The 19,692-nt window shown below is 36.0% G+C and overlaps 1 long non-coding RNA gene across 1 annotated transcript in view; it reads right to left on the bottom strand.

Moving 5' to 3' along the window:
• The window catches only part of LINC02307 (long intergenic non-protein coding RNA 2307), a 395,530-nt gene that overhangs the window by 43,041 nt on the left and 332,797 nt on the right, over positions 1-19,692 (bottom strand). The window contains exon 2 of the long non-coding RNA NR_187192.1: positions 15,811-15,935. This is a non-coding gene — a long non-coding RNA (long intergenic non-protein coding RNA 2307). The remainder of the gene's footprint in view (positions 1-15,810; positions 15,936-19,692) is intronic.

Raw genomic sequence — 19,692 nt, forward strand, 5'->3', positions numbered from 1 at the left:
TAACTGGCACCTCTCTGTGTTGCAGCGATTTTTCTTTTGTACTGGATTACTTTCATTAGTTTACAAACAAAGTAAACAAGCCATCAAAATGCTGGCCTAAATAAAAGCCGCAGTATGAACAAACATAGAAAACCCTCTTTTTGGCCACATAAGCCCCTCCCTCTACCACCTATATCTCTTCCTTTAAAAAGAAAAACTATTTGAAAGTGCTGAATATATTTATTTTCACTAATTATCTCTCATTTTTGTTCTTTAAAACTGTGTTAAATGCAAATTGCTTAGAAACAAAAAAATGTGTAACTGATGTATATGATATATATAATAAAAGTAAAAGAACACCTGCATGTATCCATGCCATAGATAAAAATATAGAATCTTAACAATGTCCTTGAAGTCCTGTGTGTTCTCTCCCTAATCCCATCTCTTTCTCCCTAGGAGAGATTCCAGAATTTTCAGCTTATTGCTTCCTTGCTTTTACCTATATCTTTAGCAAAAATTTAACTATAATCAACATACTGCTTACCTTTGAATAAATATAAGCTTCATAAATATTTAATTATATCACATTGGGTTCTATGACATTTTTCTCAGTTTTTTATCCTGGGTGATTCCTATAGCTCTATAATTCATAAACTTTAACTGCTACATACTATCCTACTCTATGTATAATCCACAAATTATTTAACTTCTCACCTACCAATAGAAATTGGAATTATTTCTAGCTTTTTCCTATTATAGGCAATGGCACTAGGGTCATTCTTGCCCATCTCTTTCCAAACACATGTGTTAATTTCTATATGGTGCATGTGCACTTGTTCACCCCTGCCAAAAAATGATAAATGGTTTCAAAAGCATTGTACTCATCTTTACTCCTCTAGTAGTGTGTAAATTGCATTGCTGTATTATATCATTCTGAATATTTAGTATTATCAGAAATGTTTTACAATCTTGTAGCTTAAAAACGTTTCATTATAGATATAATTTCCACTTCTCTATTGTTGAGTTTGACCATATGTCTTATATTTATTGGTTTAATGTGTTTCCTCTTCTGTGATGTGTCAGTTCAAGTGTTTGCCAATTTATCTGTTTGCTAATTTATCTGCATTTGTGTTAATTTCATTAGGTTTTCTAATTTTTCCATTCATGGAACCCTCTCTTGGAAACACTATCTCTACAGGTAACTGTACGGGTCTCCCCTTCTCTCTTAAGTCTCTTAAGTAGAGAGTCAGGAGTCTCTACCTGACTATCTGGCATTCCCTAAAATCAACAGTGCCACACAATCTCCCTTCTCCCAAACACACATTATTTTCTATCGAATTATCATTTGTTTTTTTTTCCTCAAGGCACCTATTGCATAACAGTAGAAAATATATCTGTTATTTATACATTTCTCTAATTGAATGTAAGCTCTACCGTGCCAATGATTTCATTTTTAGTACCGGATCATAATTGCCTAGGAAAAAAACCGGAATATGTTATGTGCTAAGTACTATTCACTGCTGAACGAATAAATGTATTGAACCTAATCATGTGCCTCTATACTTTAACACATCGCATATTCAGCAAATGAACAGGACAAACTTTTAAGAAATATAGTAGTACTCAAAGTAATAGTTTAATGGTGAAAATAGCTGATTTGTCATTTATTACCACAGAATCTTAATTTGCTTCTCCATTGTAGAGGTTACCTATCCACATTGAAACTTGTTCTCTTATATAAAAATAAGGCTAATAATAATATTTCCAAGCTGGCTGAGAATCTTAAATAAGATTCTGTTTGCAGGTGAACCTCTGTAAACTTGCAAGTTTTTGCCTAATGTTGCATTTAATTTAACAAAACTTTTATCAAAAACTCTTAGAAGGTATTTGTTGAAATTACATTAAAGAAGAATTATAATCAGTGTCTTTAGTCTTTTTAAAATATCAAGTAGAATCAAAGACACAGATAAATAAACAATAAGTCTTTAAAAAATTTATCTGCAAATTAGTAGTCATAACATCAAAAAAGGGAGAAAATTTAATCATGATTTGAAAGACAAGGCTACATAAAATGTAATAAAATAAGACAGAACTGTGTTTAATGCTGTATTAATTTGGGAATTGTCTTACAAGAACGTTTAGGACCATTGGCTGGACTGCAGTATTATCAAGGATTTATTTTATAAATCAGAACTCTCTGTCTAATCACACCAAAGTCAACTGTTGAACTACGTAAAGAAATATTTACCAGACTTCTAATAAATGCTAGTGAAAATACTTCAATATTGCAAACCTTTTTCTGTTAGAACAGTAGAACAGTTGTTTCTGTGAACTGGATTGTGCTATTAGTCATTTTGTTTAAGAAAATGGTCTAAAGGAGAACAATGTTTACATGAATTTACGGAATGTTATATAGGCTTATAAAGACTATGTTTAAAATATATACTAAAGATTCTATTAAAGTGCAACCAATTTATATAAATATGTAGGATTTTTCTATTACAATTATTTCCTTAAAAGTAGCTTTTCCAAAAAATATGATTAATTAAACCAAACAAGTATTTCAACTTTAAGGTTTTATTTAAAAATAAAAATGTATACAGTATAACACACTAGATTTTTTTAGTATTTCAGTGTTCATTTTTATGGGTTTTTATTTTTTCAGAACTTTTTTCACCTTAATAGTAAGGTAAAGAATTTTCAAAACGATTTAGAGTTGTTTAATATGTTTCATAAATCACAGGCTTTTATGTTTTTTTTTCTATTCACTATACAGCAAGTGGTTTTAAAACTACAGAAATCTGTTTTAGAGATTATAAATCAGACTGGTAAGCAATGCATTGCTGGTTTATTGTCATTAACTCATATGCTCAGTGTCATTCACCATCTCATCTCATGTTCCTTGGAGAGCTTGAAATCACCTATCATAATAAATCAGAACAACAAACAGAAATTGTGAAGGATTGCACATAGCAGTTCTGCATTACAAATGTCCCACTCTTGCATTTTTTTCCAGCCCATCAAACTAAAAATAGTCAAAACTAAGTTTATCATTTATCCCCCTACTTCCATAAATTTATTTTCCTGACTTCCCTATTTCTGCTGATGGCATTGCTATTCTTCTAATTGTCCATGCTAAAATATATATGGGTATATTATAACTCTTCCTTCTCTTTAGATTTCACATATCGTTGAACATCATCTCTTGTGGACTGAACCTCTATAGAGTAACTCCACTATTATTTTATAACTTCCATCAGCTTCTTATTTAAGTCCCTCCTTACCTATCATTTTGTCTTTTACAAGAGGATTCTGAAAAAGAGCTACAGCATCCACTTGCTGGCCCCATTGATTAATCTTTCCTGGCAGATAACATTCCCAAGGTACAGCCTGATTGTATTATTATACTGCTCACAGAATGCAGGTAAAGCTTTCCCTTACCTCCTAAAAAGTGCACATTATCAACATTTGCTCCTAGTACAGAGACAGAGAGAGAGAGATGGTGAAGTTCTTGTGGGTACTGCTATAGTGTGTTCTAAGATCTAAGAGGGACCCAACGTGGGGCAGAGCCATTTGTCAGCTACCCAACAGGACACAAGAAAACTAGAGAAGACCCACTACCAAGTTTTCTGTGAACATTTTTCTTTTTTGGACTTCTTATCATAAAAACCCCATATTTTACAAGAAATTCTTCACAATGTGAGTCTCTGAGGGAAGCAGGGAATCTGCCCCCTGTGACAGCCTGAGACAGATATTTTTCTCTTTCTACATCCTTCAAGCCAAGGTGAGGGCAAATTGTCCAGGCTCAGACAATTACATGCTACTAGCTAGAAATTTTATTCATGAAGAAAGGTCACAAAGAAGAATGGAAGGAGAGTTTGAATCTATGGTTGCAACAGCAATGTATAGCTGTGTAAAGTAGCAAGCTCACTCTGTAGGTCATCACTATCTGCAGCAGTGGCCTACCCTTCATGGTGGGGGGATTAGCTCAAAGTTCCAGCACAGATTTTACATATTTATTGCAGTCTATTTTAGGCATTAGAAGCACAATGAGGAAATTCATCCATAGGAATGAAGCCTGGATATCATTTTGTAAATACAGTTGGTGATGGCAGACATGCTAGAGTCTGGTTCATTCCAGACATTTTATCTGAAATAAGAAGGCAGAAGCCAGAAGTGAGGTTAGTAACATCAAAATGGGATGCCATGAACAAGGAAATTATCTTAGAATTTTCTTTTTTTCCTCATATAGTTTGCTCGTTAGTTTCCTAGACAGGAAAAAAGTAATCCTGTCTTTAAAGTCACAATAAAAGTAAGTCACATAGGTGAGTGGGCTGGCTGCTCCAAGAGAGTAGTTAGAGGTCGGTGGACAGCAAGAAATGTGTGATGTAGAGATTGACGATTCCAAGGTGAGACTTGGAAATGGTGTTTCTAAAACTTTCTAGCCTCAGGAAAGAGGTTCTTGATATGTCGTTCTTTGTTTTTAGCAGAGAGATTATGCTAGCAGTAAATGGCTGAGTATTAATTTTGAAGAGCTGGAAAGGGGTCTGATATAGGGTACTCTGTAATCTGGCACTTATTCTCCTGCATTTTTTCTTCAGTTTTCTACCTATGCCCTATTCTCCAATAAAATAAGACTTTTTTACACACTGAATACTCTGTACACTTTCTAGATGCTGGCTTTTATTTTATTTTTTAAAATTGATGCTGTACTTTGTTTAGAAATAATTCTTTCTCTGGCTTTGTATACCAAAATTCATCAAAGCCAAGTTGAATGGTAAGTTCTTTCATGAGCTCTGAGATGATCTACCTATCTGTAATTTCTTCCATTACAAAACCTTCTCAGGACTTTGTACTACACTGAATACCACAGCCCTGGTTAAGTGGCAGGCTGAAATCCATTGAGTAGCAAAAATCAGTCAAGCCAGGAAAGAATCCTGGGGTACAGGTTAACACAAGGACTGGCCTCTCCCTGGTAGCAAAAATTCAGAACTACATTCCTTAGCACTGGGCCTGTTAGCCAGATCATTGCACACAGGCTGGGGGAAAGATGGAGCTATAGTTTGGATGTTTACCCCCAAACTTCATATTGAAATCTGATCCCCAATGTTGGAGGCAAGGCCTAGTGGGAGGTGTTTGGGTCATGGATGTGGATTACTTATTAACAGCTTCATGCTGTCCTCATGGTAATGAATGAGTTCTCACCCTATTACTTCCTGAAAGAGTTAACCTGAGAGCTGGTGGTTTAAAAGAGCACCTACCCTCTGTCTCTTGTCTCAACATGTAATTTACACACACTAGTTTCCCTTCACCTTCTGCAATGAGAAGAAGCAGCATTAAAACCTTAGCAGAAGCAGATGCTGGTGTTGTCATGCTTGTACAGCCTGCAGAACCATGAGCCAAATAATGAGCCTTAGCAGCCTTCACCTAGATTTCAGAGGATGAAATCTCTGAAAATGTCTAGAGGTCAAGGCAGAAGTCTGGTCCAGGGGTGGAGCCCTTATGGAAAACTTCTACTTGGGCAATACAGAGGGAAAATGTGGGATTGGAGCCTCCACACTGAGTCCCCACTGAGGAACTGCCTAGTGGAGCTGTGAGAAGAGGTCCACCATCCTCTAGACCCCAAAATGGTGATCCACCAAGAGCTTGCACTGTGCTCCAGGAAAAGATGCAGGCACTCAACACCAGACCATGAAAGCAACCACAGGGGCTGTACCCTGCAGAGCCACAGGTACAGAGCTGCCCAGAGACATGGGAGCCCAGCTCTCACCTCAGTGTGCCCTAGATGTGAGACATGGAGTCAAAGAAGATTATTTTGGAACTTTAAGATTTAACAAATGCCCTGCTGGGTTTCAGAATTGAATGGGGACTATGGCCCATTTGTTTTGGCCAATTTCTCCAATTTTGAGTGAGAACATTTACCCAATATCTGTACCTCCATTGTATCTTGGAAGTCACTAACTTGATTTTGATTTTACAGGGTCATAGGCAGAGGGACTTGCCTTGTCTCTGATGAGACTTTGGACTTGGACTTTTTAGTCAGTGCTGGAATGAATTAAGACTTTGGGGGACTGTTGGGAAGGCATGATTGATTTTGCAATGTGAGAAGGACATGAGATTTGGGAGGGGCCAGGGGCAGAATGATATGGCTTGATTCTGTGTCTCCACCCAAATCTCATCTGGAATTGTAATCCCCATGTGTTGAGGGAGGGACCTGTTGGAAGGTGATTCGATGATAGGGGCAGTTTCCCCCATGCTGTTCTCATAATAGTGAGGAAATTATCATGAGATCTGATGGTTTAAAAGTGGCACTTTCCTGTGCCCACTCTTTGTGAAGGCACCTGCTTCCATGGCACCTTCTGCCATGATTGTAAGTTTCCTGAGGCCTCCCCAGTCATGTGGAAATGTGACTCAATTAAACTTCTTTCCTTTTTAAATTACCCAGTTTCAAGTATTTCTTTAGAGCAGTGTGAGAATGGACTAATACAGAGGTGTTATTACAAAGATACCTGAAAATGTAGAAGTGGCTTTGGAACTGGATAATGGGCAGAAGTTGGAAAAGTGTGGAGGAGCAAGCTAGAAAAGGACTGTATTGCCATGAGTGAAACATTCTGGCAAGGGCACCAAAGAAGACAAAAAGACAAGAGAAATTTTGAAACTTCTTAGAAATTGGTTAAGTGGTTGTGAACAAAATGCTGATGGAATATGTTAGTAAAGACCATCCTGAAGAGGTCTCAGATGGAAATGGGGAACTTACTGGAAATTGAAGCAAATGTCACCCTTGTTATGCTGCAGCAAAGAACTTGGCTACATCGTGTCCATCTGTAGGGCTTTGTGGAAGGCCAAACTTAAGAGTGATGACCTGGGGTATCTGGCAGGAGAAATTACTAATCAGAAAAGTGCTCAAGAAGTGGTGTGGCTGCATTTAATAGCTGAAGATTAGACAAGGGAGAAAAGGGATGATCAAAAGTTAGAAGTAATAATTAAATGGGAAACAGAGCATAAAAATTTGAAAATTTATAGCCTGTCCATGTGGCAGAGAAGGAAAGAGCATTTTCAGGCAAGAAACCTAAGGGTGCTGGGCAGCAGCCACTTACTAGAAAGATAAGCCCAGATAAAAGCATCTAGGTGCTAACAGTCAAGACAATGGGAAAAAGGCCCTGCAGGCATTTCAGAAATCTTTTGAATTGGCTTCTCTTATCACAGACCTGGGATGACAGATGGTTTTGGGGTCAGGTCCAGGGTGCCACTGCCTTGAAACACTTTGAGATGCTGCTTCCTGCATCCAGACCCCTCTGGCTGAAGCATCCAATGCTCAAATGGTCCCAGGTACAGCTCAGGACCTAGCTCGAGAGAGTCCAAGCCATAAGCCTTGGCAGCTTCCACATGGTCATTAAGAGTGCAGATATGCAGATTGCAGGAATAGAGGAGGCTTGGAAACTTCCACCTAGATTTCAAAGGGTATGCTGGAATTCCTGGGTGCACAGGAAGAAGCCTGTCATAGGGGTGGAACCCACACAGAGATTCTACTAAGGCAATGCTGAAATGGGGGTTTGGAACCCGCATGGAAAGTCCCCACTCTGGGCACTGCCTAGTGGATCTATAGGAGCAAGGCAACTGCCCTCCAGACCCTAGAATTATAGAGCCACCAGTAGGTTGCAACTTCAGCCAAAAAAAGCTGCAGGCATTTGACTCTAACCTGTGAGAGCAGCCATGTGAGCTATACCCAACAAATCCACAGAGTGGGGCTGCATGAGGCTTTAGGGGTTCACCCCTTGAACCATATGCCCCAGATGCAAGACATGGAGACAAGGGAGGTCATTTTGGAGCTTTAAGATTTACTGTCTGTCCTACTAGGTTTTGGACTTACATAGGACCTGTTACCCCCTTTTCTTTTGACCTATTTCTCCCTTTTAGAATGGGAATGTATACCCTTTTCCTGTTCCACCCTTGTATCTTGAAAGTAAACAACTTGGTTTTGACTCAGAACTGTGAGGAACTTTCCTTGAGTCTCAGATGAGATTTTGAATTTTTAAACTGATTCTGAAACAAGTTAAGACTTTTAGGGGTTATTGGGATGTAATAGTTGTACTTTGCATGTGAGAAGAACATGAGCCTCGGGGGGGCCAGGTTTTGAGTGCTATAGTGTGGAGGATTGTCCCCAAATCTCATGTTGAAATTGGATACCAGTGTTGAAGGTGGGGCCAAATGGGACATGTTTTGGTCATGAGCGTGGATCCCTCATGAATGGCTTAGTGCTCACTCAAGGTAATGAGTGAGTTTTTTTCTCTATTAGTTCCCAGGAGAGTTACCCAAAGAGCTGGTTGTTAAAAAGTGCCTGGGACTTTCCCTTTCTCTCTTGCTTCCTCTTCCACCACGCTATCTGCACATGTGGGTTCCCTTTCCCCTTTTCTCAGGAGTGGAAGCAGCCTGAAGCCCTCACCAGAAATGGATACTATTAGTTCTGTGCTTCTTGCACAGACTGCAGAATCATAAGCCAAATAAACATATTTTCTTTATAAATTACCCAGCCTCAGGTATTCTTTTATAGCAACACAAACAAACTGAGGCAGAAGGCTTTCGCGCAGTGCAAATGAAGAACCAAGGGGCATCCCAAACTATAAGCAGAACTTCTTTCTTTCTTCATCTCACTAGTAAATGGAAAGTCTTGCCATTCTTCTAGGCCAGGGTCTCTAGTTGAGGAGTCAGAGCTTCAAACACACACACACACACACACACAAAGTTATTGCTTGCACTTCAGTGAAACAAGGTAGACAGGGACTGAGGATACTCTTCTTTTATGGTGTGTTTACTATCTCTTTTTTCTTATAAGTTATAGCTGCAAAAAAGCTTTCTCGTTCCTTTGAGTTTCCTACTATACACAATTCTATAGAGAGTCTCAATAAAATTTTATTGAAAAAATAAACAATTACCACTGTATCAATAAAAAGTTAAAAATGTTATCTAGGTTAGTGTTATCAATGTATATTCAATTCCTCTTTAGCATCAAATAACATAATCTGCAGATAGAAATTATTTCTTCACGTGCATTTAACATTCAGAAAAATATCAACCCCAGTCCTTCTCACCCATGCTATTTTTATCACTTGATGAGTATTTTGATGCACTTTTGTGAGTATATTTAGTAACAGAGTTAGGCTCTTTTCTTAGGTATACACTGATTACGTCAACCCAAAAATCAATGGCATTTGAGTGACTTCCACTGTGTTTCTGTAAAAGACTAAGGATTGGTAATTGTAACACATTTCATACCTTTATGTAATAGAATCCAAAACAATAAAATCATATACTGTGAAAAATGTAGTTAACTCTTCATGAAAAATAATCTTAATGTCTTCAATCAAAATCGCATCTTCATTTTCTTTATGCTTGCATTTGTGGAAAATAAATGAGCCAGTGAATTGCTGTATTCCTAAACTGTATACCTTTAAAAGAGTAACACATTATTATCTGATTGATTTTGTTCCAGGTAATTATGTGGAAATGGTTATCATGAGATATAAAAAGCAAATGGTTTTCTTTTTTGAATCATGTCTGTATCAAAAATGTTTTAAAATTTATAGAAAAGATGCCACAACTATATTATCAATTTATGAAAACTAAAGAAACATTAAAAAGTGAGAATTCTCATGTGATGTTATGATTATTTACAACTGAAATAGTAATTCAACTTTAAAATTAACTATACAGAAAATATTCTGAAATCAAAATTTTCAAAAGATGCTTAATAATATATCAAGAGGGTGACCATATGCTATAATTATTCCATTTATATTTTGGTGCTTACTATAAATAGACTTTAGATGCTTATTGCAGATTATATTTCAAATAATCTACCTTAAAATACTGTCGATTATGAAACTCGTATGCAGCCAAATGCAATTTTTTTTTGAGAGAGAGTCTCACTCTGTTGCCCAGGCTGGAGTACAGTGGCATGATCTCGGCTCACTGCAGCCTCTGCCTCCAGGGTTCCAGCGATTCTCCTGCCTCAGCCTCCAGAGCAACTGGGACCACAGGTGTGTACCACCATGCTCGTCTAATTTTTTGTACCAAATGCAATTTTCTAATTTACATATGCACTCAGCTCTATTTGGGTATATGTAATGGCATTTAAAAAGACTTAATATGACATTCTCTATGTGCTAGGTAATGTGGTAATTGAAAGGATCAATGTTATTTCATTTAATTCTTGCAATAGGCCTGTAAATGAAAAACCTTAATTGCAAAGCAGTTTAATAACTTTCCTAAAGTCAAATAATTTGTACATAATTTGAAATTGTTTTCTGACTAAAAATCACACAATTTTTAAGATACTTCATATTTATACGTACATTATATATACAAAACACATACAAGGAACAATTTAATTTATCCAGCATCAAAGATATTTCCTATAAAATTATTTTGTAGAAATACAATCTAAACTTTTAAGCTTGGAGTGTTATTGAGTTTTACAACTTTTGTGGAAAAGCTTTAACAAATACATTGATTGCTCTTTTACATCTCTATAAATTGTGGATAATAAAATATATGTTTATTTAAATTTTTTATCCTCAGGGTCATCAGTTTTTGTAGACAGCAGTAACTTAAGTCATGTATTTAGAGATATTGACTGTCTGTTTGGCCTTACTCTAGGGGGACTTGGACTATTATGCCTTTTTATTTTAACTTGAATTATTAGATGGCTCAATGGCTATGGCTTTTTGTTGTCAGTGTACCTGCTTGCTGGGATGCTTCATTGTCATGTGTATAACTGATGGCTTGGATTTTTTTATTACACAGAAACATGATTTCACCTGGTATCTTAAAATTGCACATAATATTTATATTAACTAGCTCTGCATTGAGTGTCTAAACTTCTCTTAAATGAAACTATTCTAGTTCAAGGTATGCAAGGCCATTTTCACATTCATTTTAAGTGCTCATTCAATTATTCATTCAAAAATATTTAATGGGCAATTACTATGTGAAAGAAACATTCTCAGGGACTGAGGAGTCAGCAGTGGATAAAAAGAGCAGTGGTCCATGCCCCTAGAAGTTCAAATTCTATTGGGAGAAAGAGACGAAGAAAATATTTTATTAAAAAATAAAACATATTGTGTTTAATACTGACAAATACTATAAAGAAAATTGCATAATAAGGAAGAATAGGAAATTCCAGGGGGACCTGGGATATGCAATTTTAGATGAAGTGATTAGAGAAGGCCAGACTGAAGGATATCTGAATAAAGAGCTGAATAAAGGTATGCTGGAATGAGTGTGTCTTTCCTTAGTTACACTTCTCAGCCCTCTTTTGCTCTGCTGTATATGCAAGGCATTCTGATCTAGACCAGCAGCATCTAGCTAGGTTTGGCTAAAGGAGAGCATTGAAAACTAAGGGGAAGAAAGAAGCCAGAGTGTTCCCTTTTGCCCACCTATGTTTTGGGCAGTGCCTCTAGCATTGTTTTGCCTCTGGCTCTTTTACTGAATGGGGTAACTGTGGTTCCAACATTTTCTTCTTGACCCCAGATCTTACAGTCTGATAATATTGTCTCTTTCTTTTGGCAATGAAAGAAAGAGGTAGATAGCTCCCTACTGTTTTAAATTCATGTGTATTTAGTATTCCCAGCAGGAGATAGCAAATACCATGTGTTAAATCTGCTATTTCCAAATATTTAAAATGCCTGTTTTAAATACTTAAAAATTGTGAATCAATATTTGGAACTTGACTAGTACAGAAGGTGAAAGAGCAAAACTCACATTCATCTAGGTAAAGATCATCATGGACCATGGAAACATCAAGTCTGACAGTCTGGGGGAAACTGCCTGGAGTATTCAGGACACAGTGAAAGGACAGTGTGGCTGCCATCGAGAAGGAAAAATTGAGTCCAGAGATGGTAGTAGATGGGTCAGAGAAATCAGCTAAATCTGACTTCAGCTTTTACTCTAAAAAAGAAGGGAAGTTATTGAAGACTTCTTAACTGAGAAGTGAGTGATCTAACTTTTGTTTTATTGTAACCATTCTTCCTGAAAAGGACAATGAAAGAAGAAATAAGACAGGTTTAGAAGGTATTAAACTTTGATTTTGTATCCAGAGATTTTGCTGAAGTTGCTCATCAGCTTAAGGAGATTTGGGGCTGAGATGATGGGTTTTCGAAGTATCATGTCATGTGCAAACAGGACAATTTGACTTTCTCTCTTCCTATTTGAATACACTTTATTTATTTCTCTTGCCTGATTGCCCTGGACAGAATTTCCGATACTATGTTGAATGGAACTGGTGAGAGAGGCCATTCTTGTCTTGTGCCAGTTTACAAAGGGAATGCTTCCAGTTTTTTCCCATTCAGTATGATATTGGCTGTGGGTTTGTCATATAGCCTTATTATTTTGAGATACATTCCACTGATACCTAGTTTATTGAGAGTTTTTAGCATGAAGGGGTGTTAAATTTTGTCGAAGGCCTTTTCTGCATATATTGAGATAATCTTGTGGTTTTTGTCATTGGTTCTGTTTATGTCATGGATTACATTTATGGATTTGCACATGTTGAACCAGCCTTGCATCCCAGGGATGAAGCCAACTTGATTGAGGTGGATAAGCTTTTTGATGTGCTGCTGGATTCGGTTTGCCAGTATTTTTATTGAGGATTTTCGCATCGATGTTTATCAGGGATATTGGCTTCAAATTTTCTTCTTTTGTTGTGTCTATGCCAGGTTTTGGTATCAGGATGATGCTGACCTCATAAAGTGAGTTAGGGAGGATTCTCTCTTTTTCTATTGTTTGGAAGAGTTTCAGAAGTATTGGTACCAGCTCCTCTTTGCCCCTCTGGTAGGATTCAGCTGTGAATCCATCGGGTCCTGGAATTTTTATGGTTGGTAGGCTATTAAATACTGCCTCAATTTCAGAACTTGTTATTGCTCTATTCAGGGATTCGACGTCTTCCTGGTTTAGACTTGGAAGGGTGTATGTGTCCAGGAATTTATCCATTTCTTGTAGATTTTCTAGTTTATTTGTGTAGAGGTGTTTATAGTATTCTCTGATGGTAGTTTGTATTTCTGTGGGATCGGTGGTGGTATCCCCTTTATCATTTTTTATTGTGTCTATTTGATTATTCTCTCTTTTCTTCTTTATTAGTCTTGCTAGCGGTCTATGAAGTTTGTTGATCTTTTCAAAAAACCAGCTACTGGATTCGTTGATTTTTTGAAGGGTTTTTTGTATCTCTATCTCCTTCAGTTCTGCTCTGATCTTAGTTATTTCTTGCCTTCTGCTAGCTTTTGAAAAATCACAAGCATTCCTACACATCAATAATAGATCAACAGAGAGCCAAATCATGATTGAACTCCCATTCACAATTGCTACAAATAGAATAAAATACCTAGGAATACAACTTACAAGGGATGTGAAGGACCTCTTCAAGGAGAACTACAAACCACTGCTCAAGGAATTAAGAGAGGATACAAACAAATGGAAAAACATTCCATGTTCATGGATAGGAATAATCAATATTGTGAAAATGGCCATACTGCCCAAAGGAATTTATAGATTCAATGCTGGCCCCATTAAGCTATCATTGACTTTCTTCACAGAATTAGAAAAAAGCTACTTTAAATTTCATTTGTAACCAAAAAAGAGCCCACATAGCCAAGACGATCCTAAGCCAAAAGAACAAAGCTGGAGGCATCATGCTACCTGAGTTCAAACTATACTACAAGGCTACAGTAACCAAAACAGCATTGTACTGGTACCAAAACAGATACATAGAGCAAAGAAACAGAACAGAAGCCTCAGAAATAACACCACACATCTACAACCTGATCTTTGACAAACCTGACAAAAACAAGCAATGGGGAAAGGATTCCCTATTTAATAAATAGTGTTGGGAAAACTGTCTAGCCATATACAGAAAACTGAAACTGGACCCCTTCCTTACACCTTATACAAAAATTAACTCAAGTTGGATTAAAGATTTTAACATAAGACCTAAAGCCATAAAAACTCTAGAAGAAAACCTAGGCAATACCATTCAGGACATAGGCATGGGCAAAGATTTCATGACCAAAATACCAAAAGCAATGGCAACAAAAGCCAAAATTGACAAATGGGATCTAATTAAACTAAAGAGCTTCTACACAGCAAAAGAAACTATCATCAGAGTGAACAGTCAACCTAGAGAATGGGAGAAAATGTTTGCAATTTATCCATCTGACAAACAGCTAATATCCAAAATCTACAAAGAACTCAAACAAATTTACAAGAAAAAGACAAAGAACCCCATTAAAAACTGGGCAAAGGATATAAATGAACACTTCTCAAAAGAAGGCATGTATGCGGCCAACAAACATATGAAAAAAATGCTCATCATCACTGGTCATTAGAGAAATGCAAATCAAAACCACAATGAGATGTCGTCTCACACCAGTTAGAATGGTGATCATTAAAATGTTAGGAAACAACAGATGCTGGAGAGGATGTAGAGAAATAGGAAGGCTTTTACATTGTTGGTGGGAGTGTAAATTAGTTCAACCATTGTGGAAGACAGTGTGGCAATTCCTCAAGGATCTAGAACCAGAAATACTATTTGACCCAGCAATCCCATTACTGGGTGTATACCCAAAGGAATATAAATCATTCTAGTATAAAGACACATTCACACGTATGTTTATTGCGGCACTCTTCACAATAGCAAAGACCTGGAACCAACACAAACGCCCATCAATGATAGACTGGATAAAGAAAATGTGGCACATATGCACCACAGAATACTATGCAGCCACAAAAAGGATGAGTTCAAGTCATTTGCAGGGACATGGATGAAGCTGGAAACTATAATTCTCAGCAAACTAACACAAACACAGAAAACTAAACACTGCACAATCTCACTCATACGTGTGAGCTAAACAATGACAACACATGGACACAGGGAGGGGAACATCACACACCGGCACCTATTGGGGGTGGGTGTCTGCGGGAGGGATAGCATTAGGAAAAATACTTAATATAGATGACAGGTTGATAGGTGAAGCAAACCACCATGGCACATGTATACCTATGCAACAAACCTGCATGTTCTGCACATGTACCCCAAAACTTAAAGTATAATAAAAAAATTATGTGATAAAAATGGAAAAAAGGAAGGTTTTAAACTATTTTGGTAAAAAATGATTGTGTCAGGGAAATAATGGTGGTAGTGAGGAGTGCTCAAATCATGGGCAGACTGAGGGCCAAGCCAATGGGATGTGAAGAAGGATTGCATATGTTAAATGAGAATGGGTATGTTAAGTTGCAAAAGCATATTACACATTTATGTTGGGATGTAAGGTATATGAGAATATGAGTTATATGAGCATGAACTCAAGTGAAAAGATCTGCCCTACAGACATAAATTTGGAAATCACATAGAAATAGTATTACGTTGCTGCAAATGTAATTGTGGTTTTCGCCATTACATTTGCACCAACCTAATCTTTTTTAAAGTCATGGAACTTAATGACATCACTGGTGATGACTCTCATTTGTACAGTTTTGAGGTAGCTGAGTTTCTCAATAAATAAAGATTATATCATCTATAGTTTAATAATATAAAAATACATTAATTCCTTTTAAACAAAATTATAGAACCTTACATTTTAAATGTGCTCGTTAAATATTCACAATGAGGAGTCATGCATTTATTCCAAGTATTCTGAACATGTCTTTTAAGCAGTTGTTTGTATTATTTAAGTCTCTGTTATCAATCCAGCTCACATTAAGCAAGGACTTTACAAGATAGGCATGGTGCCAAACAGAGCCCCAGGAAAGCACTATTGGGGCTTGAACACTGCCAGGGCTCACCTTTGTTTCTTGCCTCAGAGTCTCCATGTGTGTCTGCTGTATTTCTCCCTTTCACTGCAGGCCAGCTTTTTCCACATGGCAGAAAGTGTATTTGCCGACACTCTTCACCTTTACATCTATGGTTTCTGTGATTCAGAGAAAAAAACATGTCTCACAAAAGCAAGGAAGAGGCAAAGTGCCAGGGAAAAAAAAAATCTGTATATTCAGCATAGTGTTCAAAAACAATTTAACAGTCTTAAGAAAATATATCTTTTTCAGGTTCTTCATACATTGTTTATACTGAAAATGAAATTATTAGTTTATCATTTAAAACCTGTAATGATAAAAATAATGGAAGCATTAGAAATTTTCTTTTTATCCAATGTTTTAATAATTCTTTGGACTTTTCCCCAGATCTAATAAAGAGTATTAAGATTGGTGTAACAATTCATCTGCTGGGTATTTGATAAATATACAACAATAAGGGTTAGCATTGATGATGTTTAGAAGATAGGGTGATATTCACTTTTCAAGAAAATAGTATTTATTTTGAAGCCCAATGCTCCATGTCACATTTTAAGATTACTTAGACAAGTATAGACAAAAGATGACCTTGAAGCTATGGAATATGATGAATTTACCACAGTACATTGAGATAATACATTATTCAATACTGCATGTGAAAATAGATCTGCAAAATAAGAAAGAGATACATTTCTGTCATTCATTTACTCAATAGGCATTTATTGAGCTGTCTCTTCTGTTCAAAGTATAGCAGTATACCTGTTCTAGAGAAAGAAAAAAAAACTGAAACAATGGCATATTTGTGTAACTCTAAATATTGCAAGGAAAAGGAGGCCAGTGCAATTCATTAATCAATCAGATCTATCCAGAATTACTCCCACCACCACCTCAAATAGTCTAACCCCCAGCATTTCTCATGACAACGAATGCAGAAAACAGACACAGCCTTGTTCCTGGTCTTTCCATAATGGCGATCGATCACACAGAACTCAAAGCCACCTTTATAAAATACAAATCTGATCCAGCCACTCTCCGGGTCTCAACTCTCTAATTATTTCCACTCACCCTTAGAATAAAATACAGAATTCTTACCTTGGTGTACACTATCTGATCTCATGCTCACTCTCAGAATCATCTCATTTTCCTACTACTCTTTCTCCCTCTTCCTATGATCCATTCTTTGGTCATTTTGCTTTTCATTACTATTCCAAGCTTGGGGCAACCTAAAGCGTAGAGACTTGCTCTTCTTTCTCCCTGTAATTCTCTTCCTCCACATATCTGCATGGGTCATTCCTATACAGTATTCAGGTCTCTGTTCAGAGGCCACCTTCTCAAAGCTCATTCTAAACCTTCAAATCCCTATCACTTGGTGTACTTTAATTTTCTTCATACCATACACCTCTAATTGGCAATACAGTGTATACTTATTTAGTTGTTTAATATTTTTATCTAAAACCTATGTATGAATTTCTGGGAAGAAGAGATTTTGACTGTTTGCTCTATTTCAGGGCATAGAAACGCTTGGCACATAGGTGATATACAATAAATTATTCTTTAATTCACTACTTTATTAAATGTACCTATGCATACTTCATGTAAATAGACATGAATCCCACTGACACCACTTTCTAGCTCTGAGACCTTGATCAAATAAGATAACATTCAGTAGCAAAATGATGATAATAATGACATTTATTTTACTTCATATGTAAAGTCCTTATAATATTGCCTAGAACATTTGAATATTTATTGAAGGATATCACGATAATTTTAATTATTATATGTCATTGTTTACATTATAAAAATGTGTTGTTGCATTAATGTAAGGTGAAATGCATGTATATAAAATATGTATAAATATAATGTCCTCATTACCCTATCAGTATTACATTCCAGACAGAAATGATGTTTTATGGGAAGGCAAAAGTCTGTATTACACAAAAGTTTTACATATAATGACCACAGAGCAATTTTTAAAAATACTACTAGATTTATTCTTTTTTTACAAACTGTAGTTCAAATTCCCACCTAAATCTTAGTACATATCAAAAGATAGTTTCATATTTAATTTTAATTTTAACTTTAATTTAATTTTAATTTTAATTCATATTGACTTTCTCTAGTAACAATTATTCTTAAATTGCATAACTCTTCTTTCATCTTTTGCTTATCTTCAACATCCAGAGAAATAAATAAAAATGGACAATATTTAAAATAAAATAAAATAAAGTTAAATGTCAATAAGTTTTCTTTTTAAGTTATCTATGGCAGAATAAATCTAAATGGGATTGACCTATTTTGTGCTTGTTGCCCTTAAGGGAAAAAAGATAAAAGACATTAGAGTGTGTCATGTCAGTGTGTGTCTTCAAATCAGTGCACATCAGTCTAACCTCCCACACCTTTCTATGTACAGTTCTCTAAATGGTAACTTATCTTCCAGTGATGGCTTTTTGCACTGTGTTTGAAGTTCTTTTGACGTGTTACTGTATTATTTCATATGGATCCATCTATGGCATCACATCTATGGAACCACATTAAGAAAAGGTTCTTTTTTCTTCTGCAACAACAACAAAAAAACAGAGTTCAAACATTTATTCACAAGGTTTTGCACTGACCTGGCAATAATACTCAAAGGACTGACTTATTTTGCTTAGACCAATTTTTTCTGGCACACAGACAAATGTTAAAGTGAAACGCTAAAAAATAGTATGAGTATACTGTGAAAAGGCAGCACAAACAACATCCATATCATTGGTCAATAAAATCTTTGCTGCTTTGCTGATGGGAAAATATTTTTAATACTTAAATTTTTTCAAGATTAACAAACATAGCTCATGTCCCAGTATTTCCAGTGTGCAGATTACCAGGCACAGTTATAGTGGTATCAGATATGGATTTCCTTCTCATGAATTTTAGTGAGATATGGACAAGATCTTACAAAAGTTGACACCATCAGGGGAATAATTCATCTTAAAGGATGGAGAAGGATATTACCTATGCCCTGTAATACCTACTAGAGAGCCACCAAGAATGTTGGAAGGATTTCTTATCACTAAACACATCACTAGCTATTTAAACTGAAATAACTATTGCTTTTAAAAAATAGTTATCTTTTTATTTTACCATTTTACTATGTGCCAGATAAGTGACTATCTTCAGTTTGATTTACACATTATATTTAATTGCCTTAACAACAATGTTCAATACTTCCATTTACAATTGTCGAAACTGAAGTTCATGGAGCTTATTTATGTTGCTTATGTGGTGAATAGAATTTATGGTAAGGTGCATCTAGTTCCAAGGCCATGATTTTTATGACTTAAGTGTACTATCTATTGAAATAGCCTAAAATTTAAACTAATTTCTTTGTTGTGTTAATAATTTAAAATAATAATATTTTAAATAAATTAGAATTATTTTCTGAGCATTATATCATCTGCTACTAGTGGGGGATGATTTATAGCAAAAGAGTTAATATTTGGAAGAATAAATATAATAAAACTAAGAATGATTTCATTGTTTTATTGAAACAATTGGAGCCTGTTTCATAAGAAGTCCAAATAGAGTGGGACAGTACAGCATGAACAGACTGACAGCGGCAAAGGTATTATGTGTTCAGGTGGATGAGACAGAACCAGAATTATTAAATGCTCCACACTAGAACCACCTGCTATGAATTGTTAAACTGTACCACTGAAGATTCAACAGAATTGTGAGAATTTCTTAAGTAAGATAGAATATGCAGGAGTCAAATGAAAAATATATAGTCATGCAACCACATAAAACATGTTGATTTATGTTTAATAAAAAAGAAAAATCTACATAAAGATAAATGTCAGAGACAATATTTACAACAATATGAAAAGAAAAACAACGGTT

The sequence above is a fragment of the Homo sapiens genome, chromosome 14 (genome assembly GCF_000001405.40).
Source record: "Homo sapiens chromosome 14, GRCh38.p14 Primary Assembly".
Taxonomy (NCBI): domain Eukaryota; kingdom Metazoa; phylum Chordata; class Mammalia; order Primates; family Hominidae; genus Homo; species Homo sapiens.